The sequence below is a fragment of the Homo sapiens genome, chromosome 16 (assembly GCF_000001405.40).
Source record: "Homo sapiens chromosome 16, GRCh38.p14 Primary Assembly".
Lineage (NCBI taxonomy): Eukaryota > Metazoa > Chordata > Mammalia > Primates > Hominidae > Homo > Homo sapiens.
This window is the reverse complement of record NC_000016.10, coordinates 4,089,927-4,109,910: the sequence shown is the minus strand read 5'-3', so window position 1 is coordinate 4,109,910 and position 19,984 is coordinate 4,089,927. Positions and strand designations below refer to the sequence as shown.

Genomic DNA, 19,984 nt, shown 5'->3' with positions numbered 1-19,984 from the left:
GGAGTTTGCATTTGACCCCATAGGTGTCAGGGAACCACTCAACAGGGGGCTTAGGTGATCTGACTTGCAGTTTTAGAAAGTTCACTCTTTCAGAGCTAGTGAGTGTGGGTTGGAAAGAGATTAATGAGGTGTCGAGTAAATCCCAGGTAGGGGTGATGGTGGCCCAATCCAAAGTTACAGTAGCAGTGATGGAGGTGATGGGATCTGAGTGGCATTAGGAAGAGCAGCTTGATGGGACTGCAAGCCAGATTTAAACAAACGACTGGCAGGAGGGGAAGGGCTTGACCATGTGAATGGGAAATGGCATTTTAAGTTTCTGGAAGTGACTTGGCGACAATGTGGAGTCAGGAATGGGTGAGGGGCCTTTGAAGTTGCTATGGTATGAATGGAGAATGCAGGATGGACTTGCAGAGTACAGAGGCCCGGAACCCCTGGCTTGCTTACTCATTCAGCAAATCATTTACTCCGTGCCAGGCACGGTTCTGGGTTCTGGCAATACAGCCGTAAACAAAACAGACAACAATTCCTGCTCTTGTAATAGGGGACAAGAATTTTTAAGTCAATAATATAGGAGGATCGCTGGAGCCCACGAGGTCGAGGTTGCAGAGAGCCGTGATTGCACCACTGCATTCCAGCCTGGGCGACAGAGTGAGACCCTGTCTCTAAGAAACAAAAACCAGGCCTTCAAATAGGGGAGATCTAATAGAGGGGACAACAGGGGAGTCAAACCATAAATAAGTAAAATAGAAAAAGTGTTTTGTGAACAAACATAAAGCAGGAAGGGGATACAGCAGATGGGGTGTACGAGTGTGAGAAATCTTATCTAGGGTGGCCAGTCACTGGGAGAAGGTTGCAGGAATTTTTAGCATACTGCTAGGATTTTGGAAATAATCTAAAAAGTGAGGGGCCAGGCATGGTGGCTCATGCCTGTAATCTCAACACTTTGGGAGGCCGAGGTAGGCGGATCACCTGAGGTCAGGAGTTTGAGACCAGCCTGGCCAACGTGGTGAAACCCCATATTTACTAAAAATACAAAAATTAACCAGGTGTGGTGGCAGGTACCTGTAATCCCAGCTACTCGGGATGCTGAGGCAGGAGAATTGCTTGAACCTGGGAGACGGAGGTTGCAGTGAGCCAAGATTGCACCATTGCACTCCAGCCTGGGCGACAAGAATGAGACCCTGTCTCAAAAAAAAAAAAAAAAGTGTGAGGGACAGTTATTAAAGATATGGAGAAATGGGCCGGGCGTGGTGGCTCATGCCTGTAATCCCAGCACTTTGGGAGACCGAGGTGGGCAGATCAGGAGGTCAGGAGTTTGAGACCAGCCTGACCAACATGGTGAAACCCTGTCTCTACTGAAAATGCAAAAATTGGCTGGGTGTGGTCGCAGGCGCCTTTAGTCCCAGCCACTTGGGAAGCTGAGGCAGGAGAATCGTTCGAACCCAGGAGGTGGAGTTTGCAGTGAGCCGAGATCGTGCCATTGCACTCCAGCCTGGGCGATAGGGCGAGACTTTGTCGCCAAAAAAAAAAAAAAAAAAAAAAAAAAAAAATGAAGAAACGGTCTGATTAAGGTGAGGGACCTTCCACAGCATTTGGGATGAAACCGCTAGGCCTGAGGGAACCGTGGCTGTTGTATTCTGCCTTGGGCCACAAGCAAAAAATGGTGAGACGTGTTATCTCGAGCTGTTGGCTTTTCCTGTCATAGATACAGGGTCACAAAGACAGAAAATGAAACTGTTAGAAAATATCTACAGGCATCTTCTTTTCCCGTGTAAATATTAGGAAGACAGAATGAAGATGCTCCTCCGCTCTCATCCACACCCATGGTCATATCTCTGAAGAGGGGAATACCAGGGAGTGATCACATTGTCAGATGCAGAAATTAAAAAAGCTTTTTTCCCCAGCCAAACTTTATGCTTGTGGAGCAACTTGGGGAGGAGACCCGCTGGTATGCATTTGGGCAGATTGTCACCTGTTGGCCACCTCTGTGATCGAGACCTTTGCCTTAGAGGAGTTCCTATGTAGACCCTGTCTGGTGGGCCGACAGACCGACAGTGGACGGAGGCATTCTGTATGCGTTAGCCTCTGCAAACAAACACCTGTCTCATGCCGGAAATCTGGGCGCCCCATTAACCCTGAGCACGGGCCTGCCAGCTGACAGAACCCTAGCCAGGTGTTGGTTTGGGGTTCAGTTGCATGCTCAGGTGTTCCCCTTCCTTCCCCCGTTAGCTTGTCCCCACCTAAGCCTGCAACCCTTGCCACTGGGATGCTAACCCGTTAGCAGAGCTCAGTCTCCTTGCTTGGAAATTCTGTGTTGACCTGCACTGCATTCTTTTTTTTTTTTTTTTTTTTTTTTTTTTGAGACAGAGTCTGGCTGTGTCACCCAGGCTGGAATGCCATGGCGTGATCTCAGCTTACTGCAACCTCTGCCTCCCAGGTTCAAGCGGTTCTCCTGCCTCAGCCTCCCAAATAGCTGGGATTACAGGTGTGCGCCACCACGCCCGGCTAATTTTTGTATTTTTAGTAGAGATGGGGTTTCACCATGTAGGCCAGGCCGGTCTTGAACTCCTGACCTCAGGTGATCCACCAGCCTCAGCCTCCCAAAGGGCTGGGATTACAGGCGTGAGCCACCACGCCCAGCCTTGACCTGCATTCTTGAGCAGGATCTGTTATGCACGTGGAAATACAGCCTCTCAGATAGCAAATGGCAGAGATGAGATGAGGCACACAGTTCCCCTCCACAGCTGGGGTGGGAGACAGAAAACAGCAGTAGAGTCGACACTCAAGCTGCCCCCAGTGACCATTTGTTCAGGCTCTTTGAGACCTGGCTTACAGTGACAAGGACACAGCTGTTAATTCTGAAGACAAGCTTTCGAGTAGAAGTAACCTCTGGTAAAGCAAGAGAAGGTTAAGGTTTGCTGAATTGCCAATGGGATGAAGAAGGAAGGGAGGGCTGTCTTTTCAGGTAGAATGCCTAAGGAAGGGAAACATGGAGAAGGAACAATTAGAGCAAGTCAAGAAGTTTCAAGATTTTTGTCTTCTGGCCAGCTTGGTGAGATAGTAATTATGTTTCTGCATATTGGTCAGCGTTGCCTATGTACTTTGCTGTGGAATAGTAATCTTGGAAAAAAACCAACCAACCAACCCACATTAATCTGTCCATGTCTGGGCACAGAGTGTGCAGAAGCCTGCGTGGGCCGTAAGTCTCGTCTTTGTCTTGGTTGGTGATTTTAGTATTGGTGTTTTTGCTGGAATTCCAAAACTGTAAGAGTGTAATCATTCACCATTAGAATTCTGCAGGTCCCCTCCTGACTCTGGACTAGCTGAGCTTAGGGGCCTGTCATCCATCTGGCCCTGGGCATATCATTTGTACTTTGCCTGTGACACACCTCAAGACCTTTTCCAACAGGAACTAGCATCCCTGGAGGGAATTTTGTGAAGAGATGAGAGTTTTTGAAACAGGAAGGGAACTGGCAAGGGAAGTGGCCAGGCACCGGTGCTGCCGCGGAACAGAAGGGAAGGGACTGGGCTGCATCAGAGGGTGGATGTGGGGCCGCCATCCGTGGTGTGGGCCAAGGGTAGGGTGGTCCTCCCCTGGGAAGACTGCAGACAGCAGTGATATTCTTGTAGTCTTGTGGATGTACCCAGTGAACCACACCAGCCAAGCCAACCCGTGGCTAAATTTTAGTCAACTTCAGCGAAGAAGACTGCCCCTTGTAAAACTTGTCTGCTCTTGGAAATCAGGTTTTTTGTCTCATTTTCCCCAGCCTTTGCTAGCATTGCACTTGTAAAAAATTCCTGGCATCCTTTCTGCGGAGTTAAGTGGGAAGGCTCAATGTTCTGGGATAGGTGGGAACATCAAACCCGCTAGAGGCTGCTGGTGGCAGTGGAGGCAGAATGAGTTGTAGCAGTAGTGGTGGCAGTAGTGTGACCTAGAGGGCAGAAGCTGGGAAACAGGGTGAAATGCTGGGCCCCGACAGTCAGGGATAGCTGCACCTAGCTTATATGCCTTCCTCTAATCCAGTAGAAATTGTTGTTTCTGTAGGTTTTTTTTCTTTTCTTTTTGAGACAGGGTCTTCCTCTGTTGCCCAGGCTGGAGTACAGTGTGCAGTCACAGTTCACTGCAGCCTCGACCTCCTGCACTCAGATGATCCTTCCATGTCAGCCTCTTCAGTAGCTAGGACACAGGCGCATGCCACCACATCCAACTAATTTTTTTTTTTTTTTTTTTTTGAGACGGAGTCTCACTCTTGCCCAGGCTGGAGAGCAGTGGTGTGATCTTAACTTACTGCAACCTCTGCCTCCTGGGTGCAAGGAATTCTCGTGTCTCAGTCTCCCGTGTGGCTGGGATTACAGATGCATGCCACCATGCCCGGCCAATTTTTTTTTTTTTGTATTTTTAGTAGAAATGGTGTTTGACCATGTTGGCCAGGCTGGTGTCAAAATCTTGGCCTCAAGTGATCTGCCCGCCTCAGCCTCTCAAAGTGCTGGGATTATAGGTGTGAGCCACCATGCCCGGCCTAATTTTAAAAATTATTTGTAGAGATGACGTCTCCCTATGTTTCCCAGGCTTATGTGCATTATTTATATAGGTTGTCTATTGATATTTACAGTATTAGAAATTGAAACAAACTGAGAAGCTTAAAAATCTTTTCTAAATTTATTTCAAAATAGTAATTCATTTCACCCATTGCATGTTAATGTAAGTAACATTTTTATAAAAGTAACTATATTTTGTAAAATGAAAAAATTTGATGAGAAGGGTGGCACTGCCATACATTTTTGCAAATCTCTTTAATGTCTGGATTAATAAACGGTTGAAGTTTTTTGTTTTTTTTTTGGTGGATTTTTTTCCCTCTTGTTGCCCACATTGGAGTGCAGTGGCACGATCTCGGCTTACTGCAACCTCTGCCTCCTGGGTTCAAGCGATTCTCCTGCCTCAGCCTCTCGAGTAGCTGGGATTACAGGCACGCACCACCACACCCGGCTAATTTTTTGTATTTTTAGTAGAAACAGGGTTTCAGCATGTTAGCCACTGCGCCCGACCCACGGCTGAGGTTTTTTGAGTGATAAAATGTACACAACAGAAATCTACCGTGTTAAAACACTTTTAAGTGTGTTCGCTGAATTTTCTTAACCGCTTTGGCATTCAATTTGTTGCAATATGTTGAAAAATGTGTAGAAAATCTGGCTTTAGTTGGAAGAGCATTTTCATAGCCTTTTTATGTGATTCTGGATATTTTTCTTTGATTCTGTAGAAACATTCAACAAGTGAGTAGTAGTTTCTTTTTCTTTTTCTGAGATGGGGTCCTACTCTGTCACCCAGGCTGGAGTGCAGTGGTGCTACCATAGCTCACTCCAGCCTTGACCTCCTGGGCTCAAGTGATCCTTCTGCCTTGGCCTACCAAGTAGCTGGGACTACAGGCATGCACCACCACACCCCGCTGATTTTTTATTTTGAGTGGTAGTTTCTTAAATGTTAGTTGCAATATGGAATCTGAAATTTTATTATCTTTTTTTGTACACTATTATATTAAATGCTGTTGGGTTTTTACCCAGGTGTGATTTTATAACGTCATGCACTAGTCATTTGGAAAATATTGGTCTCTTGAATGATGCAGCTCTTCCACATGTTGACGTCAGTAAAGTCTAATAGTCTGAAGATGTTGAGTTCATCACAGTGGCTGATGTAAGTTTTCCAAAACTCTACTTGAAAACTGGAATTTTTTATCATTGGCGGCAAATACTGTCAGTTATTTTCCTTGAAGCGACAGACTCATTCATATTCCCAGGAATGGTCTGCCCGTACTCAAGCCTGAACGACCGTGGTTTGTCTGTAGGTCACGTGTAAATAATGTGCTACCAAAAAGGTGGCCAGTTCAGCTTGCAATCCAAACAGCTGCACAGCTGCTTTTCTCCAGGACCGCTGTGCTTTGATGGGCAGCAGCGTCGTCGTAGGCGTGCTTCTCATTTCATCACTCAGACTATTCAGAAGACACCTACTCAAGCTTGCGATTTAACCAATCATTCATGTTGACAGCTTCATCTGGGACATTCTTTTTTTTCTTTTTTCTGTTTTTGTGACAGAGTCTCGCTCTGTCGCCCGGGCTGGAGTGCAGTGGTGTGATCTTGGCTCACTGCAACCTCCGCCTCCTGGGTTCAAGTGATTCTCCTGCCTCAGCCTCCCAAGTAGCTGGGATTTACAGATGTGTGCCACCACGCCCGGCTAATTTTTGTCTTTATGGTAGAGACGGGGTTTCGCCATATTGGCCAGGCTGGTCTTGAACTCCTGACCTCAGGTGATCTCCCTACCTCGGCCTCACAAAATGCTGGGATTACAGGCGTGAGCCACTATGCCCGGCCCATCAGGGACATTCTTAAGTGAAGCTGTCTGCCTTTCCTTTCGTAAGTGTGGGGTAGTGAAGGACAAGCTGAGGGCTAGTGCAGTTTGGTTTCCCTGCATCGGGACCTGCTCAGGCACTAGCAGTTTCACCCATGGCTTCTTCTGCACTGTCACTGCAAGTGTCAACACTGAAGAAGGCAAATGCTGTCTTAGTGTCATTGTGCAAATAGTTTAGACTCCACAGATGCCTTGCAAAGGCCTCAAGGACCTCTAGGGATCTGCGGATCACACTTTGAGTACTGCTTCGCTAGCTGGGCTGCAAGATGGGAAGACTGAGGGTTTTGTATGTGCCACCCAAACACGCATTCTCATGTGTGTGAAACAACGCCAATTGGAGTTGTCACACCCATTACATATTGCCTGTGGAAATAGCAAGTGACCTTAGTTCATACATTGACCTTTTCTTACAAAATCCTTAAAAATCTTTTGTGATTCTGGTAAATCTTTGTTGCTCATGTTCAAAGTGTGTGATAAAGACCATCAACTTCGAGCTGGCCATGGCTCGTGCCTGTAATACCAGCGCTTTGGGAGGCCGAGGTGGGTGGATCACCTGAGGTCAAGAGTTGGAGACCAGCCTGGCCAACACGGTGAAGCTCCGTCTCTCCTAAAAATACTATAATTAGCCAGGCGTGGTGGTGGGCACCTGTAATCCCAGCTACTCAGGAGGTTGAGGCAGGAGAATCACTTGAACCTGGGAGGCGGAGGCTGCAGTGAGCCGAGATGGCACCACTGCATTCCAGCCTGGGCGACAGAGCGAGACTCTGCCTCAAAAAACAAACACATGGCTGGGCGCAGTGAGTCACGCCTGTAATCCCAGTACTTTGGGAGGCCGAGGCGGGCGGATCACCTGAGGTCGGGAGTTCGAGACCAGCCTGACCAACATGGAGAAACCCCGTCTCTACTAAAAACACAAAATTAGCCAGGCATGGTGGCACATGCCTGTGGTCCCAGCTACTCGGGCGGCTGAGGTAGGAGAATTGCTTGAATCCAGGAGGCGGAGGTTGCGGTGAGCTGAGATCATGCCACTGCTCTCTAGCCTGGGCAACAAGAGCGAAACTCCATCTCAAAAACAAACAAACAAACAAAGAAACAACCATCAACTTTGTTTCTGTAAATTTTTTTTGGAAGGGCTCACCCTTGAATGGTTGGGTGCTTGGATTTTGATTTCTGATACATTCGGGCTTAATTCTCGGTTGTATGGTTTCCTAACTGTGGGACTTTGGGCAAGCTACCTAGGGGCGCTGCAATTTATAGGAATGATGGTGTCTCTGTCAGAGGGTCGTTGGGAGAATCAACTGGGATAATGCAAGAAAAGCACTTATTTGCATAGTGACTCGATGGTGGACAGCCATTCCATCAATAACTAACGCTCCCCGCTGGCTGAGTCACATTTCGTATTGCACTAAAGGGTGTTTCTTTCTTCCTGCGCTCAATCTGGCGCACATCTTGTGTCGTTCAGTACCGAAACCTAGAACACACTAGGGACTGTGATTGTGTCAGTTTCTCGTAATAAAAAGGGCAAGTGTCCAAAATACAAAATACTGATAGCTCGCCCTGGTTAAACTCTAGCTGCCGAACTTGGCAGCCTCTTTACTGAAAACCCTCGGGGGTTCAGCAGGCTCGTTCCTAGGCTGCTTCAGTTCCCCAGAGCCTGGAGGTTCTTAAGATGATGGGCCCCTCGATGGTTGAGGAATTATAAGCAGATCTTCAGCTGTGCAACTCCAGCTATTGGCCGTGGTTTGAACTAGAGTGGTTTTTTTCAACTGTACTGTATCCTACTGTAAACTCATTTGTTTATTCATTAAATATTGAATGGGTTCCTACCATTGGCAAGGCGAGGACTAGGTTCTGGAGATAGAGGGGTGGCCCCTGCCCTCTTGGGGCATGACGCCTAGAAAGGGAAGTAGACAGTGATCAAATAATCTGTACAGGCCAGGTGCAGTGGTCATGTCTATAATCCCAGCACTTTGGAAGGCCAAGGTAGGAGGATCGCTTGAGTCCAGGAGCTCGAGACCAGTCTGGGCAACATAGTGAGACCCTGTCTCTAAAAATAATAAATAATTAGCCGTGCATGGTGGCATGTGCCTGTATTCCAAGCTACTTGGCAGACTGAGATGGGAGGATCGTTTGAGCCCAGGTGGTCGAGGCTGCAGTGAGCTGTGATTGCACCACTGTACTCAGCCTGGGTGACAGAGCAAGACTCTGTCTCAAAAAAAAAAAAAAAAATCACCTGAACAAATATTGTACTAGACTTCCTGACTGTATTACAGATAGGGTTGAGATGATCTCTATTTTATAGATGAGAAGACTGAAGCACAGAGAGGTTAGGTAACTTGTGATGATCACACAGCCAGAAAGGGATACTAAATGGTGGAGCCAGTATTTAAACCCAAAGGCTGTATTAGAAAACACTAGTACCCATCTCACAGAATTGCTGCGAGGATTAAATGAGAAAATACAAGTTCTTAGAAAAGTTCTTGGCACATAATACCTGTCAGTAGAGAAGAGCTAGTGTTACTGAAAGTTGGAATAATTTTCTTAGCAGTGGCAGCAACAGCCAAAACAACGATACCTGTCTTTAGCTCTCTGCATTTACCCTGCTGTCATGTACCCTGCCCTCACGTATCCTGCTGTCTCAGCCACTGTGAAATCCTAGGATCCTGGGAGCCGTGTGTGTTTAGATGCTTTTATTTGCTTGGTTCTTTCCCTTTCTATACCATTTACAGACTGAGTTTGTTTTTTTCTTTTCTTTTTTTTTTTTTTTGAGACAAGAGTCTCACTCCTTTGCCCAGGTTGGAGTGCAGTGGCATAATCTCGGCTCACTGTAGCTTCCACCTGTATCAGACCATTCTAACACTGCTATAAAGTTGCTACCTGAGGCCAGGTGCATGGCTCACGCCTGTAATCCCAGCACTTTCGGAGGCTGAGGCGGGCGGATCACTTGAGCTCAGGAGTTCGAGACCAGCCTGTCCGACATGGCAAAACCCCGTGTCTACTAAAAATACAAAAAATTAGCCAGGCGTGGTGGCATACGCCTCTAATTTCAGCTACTTGGGAGGCTGAGGCAGGAGAATCGCTGGAACCTAGAAGGTGGAGGTTGCAGTGAGCCCAGATCGCGCCACTGTACTCCAGCCTGGGCAACAGAGTGAGACCCCATCTCAGAAACAAACAAACAAAAAAGATGCTACCTGAGACTGAGTAATTTATAAAGAAAGCAGGTTTAATTGGCACAGTTCTGCATGGCTGGGGAGGCGTCAGGAAACTTACAATCATGGCAGAAGATGAAGGAGAAACAAGGCGCATCTTAAATGGTGTCAGGAGAGAGAGAGAGTGAGAGAGAGAGCATGCGAAGGGGGAACTGCCACTTTTAAACCATCAGGTCTCGTGAGAACTCCCTCACTCTCACGAGAACAGCATGGGGGAAACCACCCCCATGATCTAGTCCCCTCCCACCAGGTCCCTCCCTCGACACATGGGGATTACAATTCAAGATGAGATTTGGGTGGGGACACAGAGCTAAACTATATCAACCTCCCAGGGTCAAGTGCTCCTCGTACCTCAGCCTCCCTGTGACTGCACATGTGCACCACCACGCCCAGCTGATTTTTTCAAATTTTTGAGAGAGACAGGGTCTTGCCATGTTGCCTAGGCTGGTCTCAAACTCCTGGGCTCAAGCCATCCTCCTGCCTTGGCCTCCCGAAGTGTTGGGATTACAGGCGTGAGCCAAGGCACCCAGCTGAGATGGTTTCTTAACGTCCTCCAAAGGTGATTTTTTTCAAGAATCAATATAAACTCTTGGATTTTAGCTTATTTGATGTATTTCATTCCATTACAGATACATGATTTTTGATGCTCAGATTGTCCCATTTGGGGCCCATGGGAGCCCCTTTAAGTTGGCTGCTGAGTCCTCTTCATGCAACCCCAGTGGTCTTTGATAACTTTCATACCCTTTTAGTAACCTTTTTAAAGAGTTGAGAAATTATAGGTATTAAAATCTCATTAATTCTGTTTGTCTGATATGTTTATTCAGAGAGACTGAGCTAAAGTTTACCCTCATCTTTTTTGAAAAGAAAATGAATAGTATATGCATGTTTCTATGAGGAAATAATGCCACCCAAGAAACGGTTTGTGCATCTTCGAGTTCCTTGGAAGCTTTAATTTGCATTCCTACAATTGAGAGCAATGTAGAATTTCTTTCTGTATCTTCCCACTAATGCCTGTTGAGGGGCAGGTGTCTGTGAATGTAGGTAAATCGTGATAAAAAAACAATAAAAAGGCCGGGCGTGGTGGTTCACGTCTGTAATCCCAGCACTTTGGGAAGCTGAGGCGGGTGGATCACTTGAGGTCAGGAGTTTGAGACCAGCCTGGCCAACATGGGGAAACCCTGTCTGTACTGGAAATACAAAAATTAGCCGGGTGTCGTGGCGCACACCTGTAATCCCAGCTACTCGGGAAACTGAGGCAGGAGAATTGTTTCAACCTGGGAGGCAGAGGTTGCAGTGAGCTGAGATCACACCACTGCACTCCAGCCTGGGTGACACGGTGAGAACTCTGTCTCCAAAAACAAAACAAAGCAAAACAAAACAAAACCAAAACAATAAAAAAAAATCCCAAACCAAAATGTAGATGACCTGTTTGCAGACTGAGGAGTCCTGCAGCAAACTCCATCCCCCAGGACAGCTGCGGAATGTTCTAGAAGGCCCAACTCTAGGAAATCCCTTAGTAGGAGCCTTGCTCTCAACAGTGCCTCCTGGAACGATGGGCCGGCCACTCTCTTTTCCATCTTGCATCATATGTATTTGACTTATTTTGTTTATAATCTGTTTCCACGCCACTGGAATGTATCTTAAGAGCAGGAATTTTCCATGTTTTACTTCCTGCTGTGTTCCTAGTGCTGGGAATATAGCCAGGCATATAATACATGCCTGATAATATTGGCTGAATGAATGAATGAATAAATGAATGAATATTACAGGCCAGACACAGTGGCTCATGCCTGTAATCCCAGCACTTTGGAAGGCCGAGGCGGGCGGATCACCTGAGGTCGGGAGTTTGAGACCAACCTGGCCAACATGGTGAAACCCCATCTCTACTAAAAATACAAAAATTAGCCGGGCTTGGTGGCGTGCACCTGTAGTCCCAGCTACTCGGGAAATTGAGACAGGAGAATCACTTGAACCCGGGAGGCAGAGGTTGCTGAGATTGCACCACTACATTCCAGCCTGGGTGACAGAGTGAGATTCTGTCTCAAAAAAAAAAACCAAAAACAAAAACAAAACAAAACAAAAAATCCCAAACCAAAACGTAGATGACATGTTTGCAGACTGAGGAGTCCTCCCCCAGCCCAGCAAACCCCATCCCTCAGGACCGCTGTGGAACATTCCAGAAGGCCCAACTCCAGGAATTCCCTTAGTAGGAGCCTTGCTTTCAACAGTGCCTCCTGGAGCTATGGGCCAGCCACTCTCTTTTCCAGCTTGCATCATATGTATTTGACTTAATTTTGTTTATAATCTGTTTCCACGCCACTGGAATGCATCTTAAGAGCAGGAATTTTCCATGTTTTACTTCCTGCTGTGTTCCTAGCGCTGGGAATATAGCCAGGCATATAATATATGTGTGATAATATTTGCTGATAAATGAATGAATAAATAAGTAAATATAAGCCTGGTATGGTGGCTCATGCCTGTAATCCCAGCACTTTGGGAGGCCAAGGCAGGCAGATCAGCTGAGGTCAGGAGTTCAAGAACAGCCTGGCCAACGTGGAGAAATGCCATCTCTATTAAAAATACAAAAATCAGCTGGGCATGGTGGTGGGCACCTGTAATCCCAGCTACTCGGGAAGCTGAGGCAGGAGAATCTCTTGAACCCAGGAGATGGAGGTTGCTGAGATTGCGCCCCTGCACTCCAGCCTGGATGACAGAGCAAGACTCTGTCTTAAAAAAAAAAAAAAAAAATATATATATATATATATATATATATGTACATATGTATTTATACATATATATAGTGTGTGTGTGTGTATATATATATATATATATATATATATATATATATGTAACTCCACATGTGAGTACCCTGTTATGTGTGAAACCACACCCCAAACATCTACACAGAACAAGCCTCCAGGTAGAGGAAAGGCAGTAACCGCTTTGCTGGAATGACTGAGTGGTTCATTAAATAGAGGCTCCGGAGGGTCTTGATAGGCTCTAGCAAAGGTGGTGGCCGAGAGGGCTGACCAGCGCATGGTGCCTGGGAATGTGAATGGGCCCAGGGGCGCCAGAGTGTGGACAGCTTGGGACTGTGGGCTCCGAGGTGCTGCGCTGAGGGCGTGGGGCGCAGGGCAGAAACACAGAGGACTGAGTGCTTAGGGGAGGCCCAGGAAATGTGGGGTTGAACGGCCTAGTTCTGGCAATTGTTTTTAAGCTTTGTAAGATGGAGATTTCAAGAAGTATATTTATCTTAATAATATTGTAGCTCCTGGTAATTCTTATTTGATTACCATTTATACACATGGAAAACCAGCATGCCTGTTTCTGGCAAAGCTCCAGGGTAGTCTTTGTGCATAATTTCCAGGATTTTTATGTAATGCTATTAAAATCTGTTCTTTTTTTTTTCCCCCTTCCAAAGCGGGGAAAAAGCAGCTTTTGAATCATTTATTTTCGTGTTTGAGTTGTTTGGGAAATATTAACTACATTTTCTAACACTCTAGCCTGGAGAAAGGAAGAAACCCCACATGCGTGTGATTTATTTCCTTGTGTATGGATATTAAATGCAATATACCATTAAGGCTATGACACTTTAAGTGAAAGTGTTTATTGCATGTTGATTCAGTTAGTTCGTACCCTATTGTGTTACTATTTAAAGTGTGGATTGCATCGCATTCTGGAACTTCATAAATGAGTTCTTTTTCCCATAAGGAAAGGCCACTGCTTCTGATGTTCATTAATGTGATTTTTGTGTGTGTGAATGAGCTGCCTAAAAACTGGGTGTGGTGAGGGTGGTTTCTGAAAGGGAAGCACTTTTATAGCATGATCTTATTTGAAAATTTAATTTGTTTTTGTAAATTAGCTTTTGGTCTTAATACATTTCCTCCACTAACAAGCACTTTTGGGCAAATAATTTAATCTCTCTGGTTCTGCTTTTTTCATATTGGTAAAATATAAAGTTTGAGATAGATATGCTTAAAATCTCCACCATTGTCTAAGTATAGCTGAGATTCTCACGTGATTGGGACATAGTGCTCATTCTTAATTTGAAAAGTGTTTTTTTCTTTGTCCTCTTGTTTCAACTACGAACTCTCATTTAGACACATTTAGCATAGGGAAGCTCCGATTTATAGAGCCACTAAATTGCAGGGCGTGTGTGAGATTTGTAACTTCATAAAAGATTCTTTACTTCCTTTAAATATAAATACGTAAGATTGAGTTCTAGAAGTATAATTTACACATGGTTTCCTGAGGATCACGTTTCCTGAATAAAGCAGGGTATCGTTAGAGGAACCCCATTTGATTTTTTTTTTTTTTTTTTTTTTGAGATAGAGTCTTGCTCTGTCACCCAGGGTAGAGTGCAGTGGCGTGATCTCAGCTCACTGCAAACTCCGCCTCCTGGGTTCAAGTGAGTCTTGTGCCTCAGCCTCTCGAGTAGCTGGGACTATAGTCATGCAACATCATGCCCGTCTAATTTTTGTGTATTTTGTAGAGATGGGGTTTCATCATGTTGCCCAGGCTGGTCTTGAACTCCTGAGCTCAAGCAATCCAGCTGCCTTGGCCTCCTAAAGTGCTGTGATTACAGGCGTGACCCATGGTGCCTGGTCTGGGAATCCTGTTTGATTTTGAAAGTCTGAGAAACACTTTTGAAATGGCTTGGAGAAAATGTGAAGTGAATAATTATTATTTTTTTAATGTGCTTCAGTTCCCATGTGAACATTATTTTAGAGAGAGATTGGAAGGTTAGTTGCCAGTAAAATGAATTTCACTGTGTTGGCAAGTTTTTCACTCGTAGGACTGAGTGAATCCTGGACTGACAGTGTTCTTACCGATGATTCTGTTGAGGAAGGACTTGCTTGCTCTTGTTGCTCTTGACGGTGAGCTTCTGGATCTACTGGCCCTATATTGAGTGTGCAAGGGGACGTGTTAGTCCTCTAGTTGTCCCCCACATTAATGCATCTGGAAAGTGTCTACCTTAGATGTTGTAATTAGAAATTAGAGGGCTGGGCGCGGTGGCTCACGCCTGTAATCGCAGCACTTTGGGAGGCTGAGGCATGTGGATCACCTGAGATCAGGAGTTCGAGATCAGCCTGGCCAACGTCCGAAACCCTGTCTCTACTAAAAATACAAAAATTAGCCGGGCATGGTGGTGCGCACCTGTAATCCCAGTTACTCAGAGGCTGAGACAGGAGAATCGCTTGAACCTGGTAAGTAGAGGTTGCAGTGAGCTGAGATTGCGCCATTGCACTCCAGCCTAGGTGACAGAGACTGTCTCAAAAAAAAAAAAAAAAAAATTAAATGTCATCAACATTGAAAGGAAACTCTTGGATTTTGTCAAAGATTTATAAAAAGTTTTGAATGATTTTATTTTTTTCATTCAGAAGCATAATTTCCCTCTTAAAATCCCTGATGTGGATCATTTGGTTCCCTGTCATTTCCATTTTCTTTGTTCAGAGTGTCTCTTCTGGATCTCCTGAGTTTCTGTGTGTGTTTTCTTCCTTTTTGCTCAAATGATGAGCACACATGAAAGCTTTTCCTCCTTTGCCTGGGTGAGGCGGTGTTCCAGGTGTGATCTGCAGTGCCTGATTATTATATTGTATTAATCTCCTCAATTTTATTTTCTGGCTTGTCTGCATTTTTCCTTTTCTTTCTTCTCCCTTTTTTTTTTCTTATTAGAGATGGGGGTCTTGCTGTGTTGCGGGGCCTCGAGCGATCGTCCCACTTTGGCCTCCCAAAGTGCTAGGATTACGGGCGTGAGCCACAGCGCCTGGCCTCCTTTTCTTTATAGTAATTTGAATGTGGTGATTTTAATCCTCCATGGTTTTCTTATCCTTCCTCAACAAACAGCAAAGAGGCTGCTGGAAAGCCACATGACATTTGCTGTGATTTGCACGGCTGATGGGAAAACACTACTTGGTTCTGAAGGACAGGGTTGTCATTGGATACCTTTGCCCTCTGACCCGAGTGAGAATCTCACCTGGACAAAGACCCGAGTTGTGAAATCACACAGAGAAAGTGTGATTCCGAACCTGCTGCTGTCCTGTGCTTCCTGAGGACAAGTGAGTGACTGACTCCGTGTGCCAGGAACTGCAGGAGGTTAAAAACTTTCAGAACTACCATGCAAATAAGAAATTTCAAAGGACTTTTCTCTAACACACATTTCATAGTGAACGTCTCAGCTGGATTAACATAATTAACGCTGTGTTCTTTCTGGCTCCTGAAAGAAATTGTGATTAGGAACACTTTCAGGGCTGATGAGTCTAAGGTATCAACTTTGTCCCTTCTGCCACTTGAAGTTCAAATGGAAATGTTTGCTTTCATAGCTCCAGTCATGATGTTACTGTATTTAGTAGCTATTAAGTTTCCAATTCCATAGACTCCTGGGAGAAGTTCCAGTTCGCACTAAGGCTTCTGTTGCATTTAGCACCACTGCCTATGGTGTGTGGAGCTTTCCTGAACAAGTAATAGCAGCAAGGTTCTTAGCTTAGTAATAATTTTAAGCTATTCTTTGATTTTTTAAACAATTAATTAATTAATTATTTTGAGACAGCGTCTGGCTCTGTCGCCCAGGCTGGAGTGCAGTGACGTGATCTCAGCTCATTGCAGCCTCCGCCTCCTGGGCTCAAGTGATATTCTCCAGCTTCAGCCTCCTGAGTAGCTGGGACTGCAGGCGCATGCCAACACGACTGACTAATTTTTGTATTTTTTGTAGAGACAAAAATACTTTTTTTATGTAGAGACAAAAAAAAAGTTGAATGATAAAATCTTTTATTACTTAATAATATACTTTGATTGAGATTTAGCCATTTCATTTTCACTAGTGTCCAGACGTTTTCCTGAAAGGCGTGATTCCATGAGATTTAATACTGAATTATAATTTGATGTAAATGTTTTATATAATCAGTTGTTTGTTTTTAAACAGTAGCCTCTTTTCTAGGCCTGCTCTAGGTTGATTAAATATTAAGTTTTCTGATCAGCCAGATCCTTAATAGAGAGCTTCGGGGACAGCAAATGGTTGAATATGAAACCAACCTCATTTGCCATGTTGTTAGATATAAATGTCAGTGATAGCACTTTCTGGATGGTTGAGTTTTCTGAAGAGCAGAGGATTTTCTCTTTTAATCAATCAGATAATTTTCTGTTTTAACCAATTCAAACATTTGATTTTATGTTTCTGAAATAGATAAAGCACTTTCATAAAAATGGACTGTGCCAAATAAGAGGTAATTTTCTTGATGACTCAGTTATTTTTGCCTCTTGTTATTTGGCTTTTACTAATATAGCAATTTCTCTATAAAAATAGGAATCTTTGCTTTTTTAAAAAAACTGAGATCATTCTGTTTTTCCAGTTCTTACATTTTAAAAAATAATTTTTTTGGCTTCTTTTGCTATCCATGTATGTAGCTGTTGGTGTGCTTTCCTGTATCACATTTGCTCCTGGTTTTTACTTCGTTACATTAAAAAACCAAACCAACAAGTAATTAAGCTCGTTCAGCCTGCAGATATCGTTTGATGGAAAGGGCTAAGGAGTCAGCCTTTGTGCAGGTTTTTAGTTGTCAGCTATAGTCTGAGTAAGTGAGGTTGCTAGGTACAGGCGTTCAGGATGTGTAAGATGTTATTACAGTTATTTTTAGTGTATTATTAAGGGGGAGGAGGAGAAAGAGAAATTTGAATCAAATTTGTGTCTTATTAAATAGGACACGTTTTCCATAAGACCAAAAGGGCATTTCTTTTGCTTATGTACTAGAAATAGAAAATGGAAATTAGATATTAGATTGTATAATCGAAAGTCAATTAGAATTAATGAACAATTCTATAACTAGTTATACTGTAAGCTAAAATGTGAATGTTAAATTAGGGAAGTATTGATTTTTATGAAAATTTACCAGAATTTCAGGAAAGGACTTTGCTTACTTTCCCAAGAAACGTCTGGTAGGAGTCACTGTAGAAATTTGGTGTGTTCTGTACAACACTGCCCAGGAGGAACTGGCCACATTTCTTCCTACTTGGTTCTTTTGTTTGTTTGTTTTTTGAGACAGGGTCTTGCTCTGTTGCCTAGACCGGAGTGCAGTGGCACGATCTCAGCTCACTGCAACCTCCGTTTCCTGGATTCAGGCAATTCTCGTGCCTCAGCCTCCCAAGTACCGGTGATTACAGGCACCCGCCACCACACCTGTCTAATTTTTTGTATTTTTAGTAGAGACAGGGTTTCACCATGTTGGCCAGGCTGGCCTTGTACTCCTGGCTTCAGATGATCTGCCCGCCTCGGCCTCCCGGAGTGCTGGGATTACAGGCGTGAGCCACAGTACCCAGCCTGCTTTATTTTTAATTGAAGCTAAATTCACATAACTTAATGATTTTTAAGGTGAACAGTTCAGTGGCATATCGCACATTCACAGTGTTGTGCAACCATCCCCTGGGTCTAATTCCGAAGCGTTTTCATCACCCCTAGAAGGAAACCCTACACCCACTAAGCAGCCACTTCCCAGCTCCCAAGCCCTAGCACCTGGCAGCCGCTGTGCTGCACTTTGCATCTGCAGGATTTACCGAGTCTGGGCGTTTCTTATACTTGGAATCGTAGGATACGTGGCTTTGTGTGTCTGGATTCTCTCGCTCAGCATGTTTCCAAGGTTCATTCATGTTGTGGCATGGAGTAGTACCTCCTTTTTGTTATGGGTGCATAAAATTCCATTGTATGGATAAACCACATTTTGTTTTTCCATTCTTCCATTGATGGACATTAGGGTTGTTTCTGCCTCTTGGCTATTGTGGATGGTGCTGCTGGGAACACTCGTGTACACGTTTTTGTTTGAGTATCTGTTTTCTCAGTTCTTTGGGGCACATACCTGGGCATGGAGTTGCTGGGTCACGCGGTAACTCTGTTTAACTTTTTGACAAACCTCTGCCACTTTTAAAATGAGGAACTTGGGCTGGGTGCAGTGGCTCACGCCTGTAATCCCAACACTTTGGGAGGCTGAGGCAGGAGGATCACTTGAGGTCAGGAGTTCGAGACCAGCCTGGCCAACAGGGTGAAACCCCGTGTCTACTAAAAATAGAAAAATCAGCTGCGCATCATGGCGCGTGCTTATAATCCCAGCTACTCGGGAGGCTGAGGCAGGAGAATCGCTTGAACCTGGAAGGCAGAGGTTGCAGTGAGCCGAGGTCATGCCACTGCGCTCCAGCCTGGGTGACAGAGTGAGACTCTGTCTCAAAAAATAATAAAATAAAATAAAATAATAAAATAGGAACTTATATGAAGACCCTGTAAAAAGTTACCTGTGGCAGTCCGATGTTTTGGAAAACATCTGAAAGCTTAGGTCAATTTGGTCATAGATGTGGCTGGCCATTATGTTTCTTGATTGAAATAATTACTTTGTTCACTACCATTCGGAATAGTTTTGTGATTAGGATAAAAATTATAATGTAGATATAAGAGCCTAGAGACTCTTTTTATATGAATGCATAAGTTTTGGCTGTTCCCTTCAAATTGGCATGAGGCTTGGCAACACTGGAATTGTGTGTTAGATAAACAGTTGGTATCTAGGGCAAGCTTGAAAAAAAAGTAGTATTTAAACATTGACCAAAAAAAAAAAATCTCAACAACTCTAGGAACTTCCTTGTTCAAATGAATCCACACCGTCTAAATACAGCGTGATAAAATTAGGCTTCCCTCTGGTTTCCGTGGGGTCGAGTGAGCCCTGAGCGTCTCGTGCCCAGCCAGGACTCTGCCTGCTGGCTGGCTTCGGAGCACAGGGAGGTGGGACGGTTTCCACGGCCAGCAGTGTTCCCACAGCACTTCCTTAATATAGAACGTTTTTAAAAGCAGCGTTGGCCACAGAAAAAGCTCAACTCCCAAACACTGTCATCAGTTCATAGTTCATTTTTATTTTGTTTTCATGTTGTTAAAACAAGAAATAGCATGTAAACATGTCTGCATTACCGAACATCAGTAGTGTTTAGGATAGAAGAGGAACACATTGAGTTTCTAAGTAGAAAAAAAATCTGTTCATCCTTAAAGGCAAAGGAAGGGGCAAGGTCCCTCCTTGAACAACTGGGTGAGGTTGGACGCCTCCAGCTGTATTTGCTAAGTTGGGCTTGGAAGTATCCATAGGGCGTGGGGGGCCTGCTCCAGGGCTGACCTCAGCTGGAGTCCCCTCCAAGTCAGGGGTATCGCTCGGCACACATTTGTATGAGTTCACCTGAAAAGTGCCCTTGTTGGGGGAGCTTGGAATGGCCTGTAGGGCAGCTGGGTCACAGTGGCTGCCGGGGATGCCTGCCAAGCTGTTAAGCAGCCCTCGGGCCCACGGAGTCCCAGCAAGTGTGGTTTACTGTTTGTTAGGATGTAATTCAAGCCTGTGGGTAGGTAAAACTACCC

At 44.8% G+C, this 19,984-nt stretch overlaps 1 protein-coding gene across 3 annotated transcripts in view, besides 2 other annotated features; it reads left to right on the top strand.

Moving 5' to 3' along the window:
• ADCY9 (adenylate cyclase 9) overlaps positions 1-19,984 on the top strand; it is a 163,056-nt gene that overhangs the window by 6,532 nt on the left and 136,540 nt on the right. The window lies entirely within an intron of this gene.
• Positions 970-1,469: an enhancer, noted in NCBI's record as "H3K4me1 hESC enhancer chr16:4158443-4158942 (GRCh37/hg19 assembly coordinates)". NCBI's record gives its function as "activates a minimal SCP1, AML or CMV promoter by ChIP-STARR-seq in naive H9 embryonic stem cells {active_cell/tissue: H9 hESC(naive)}" and the evidence as "EXISTENCE:reporter gene assay evidence [ECO:0000049][PMID:30033119]".
• Positions 15,469-15,763: a silencer, noted in NCBI's record as "tiled region #10289; K562 Repressive non-DNase unmatched - State 21:Repr". NCBI's record gives its function as "represses a minimal TATA promoter and a strong SV40 promoter by Sharpr-MPRA in K562 cells {active_cell/tissue: K562}" and the evidence as "EXISTENCE:reporter gene assay evidence [ECO:0000049][PMID:27701403]".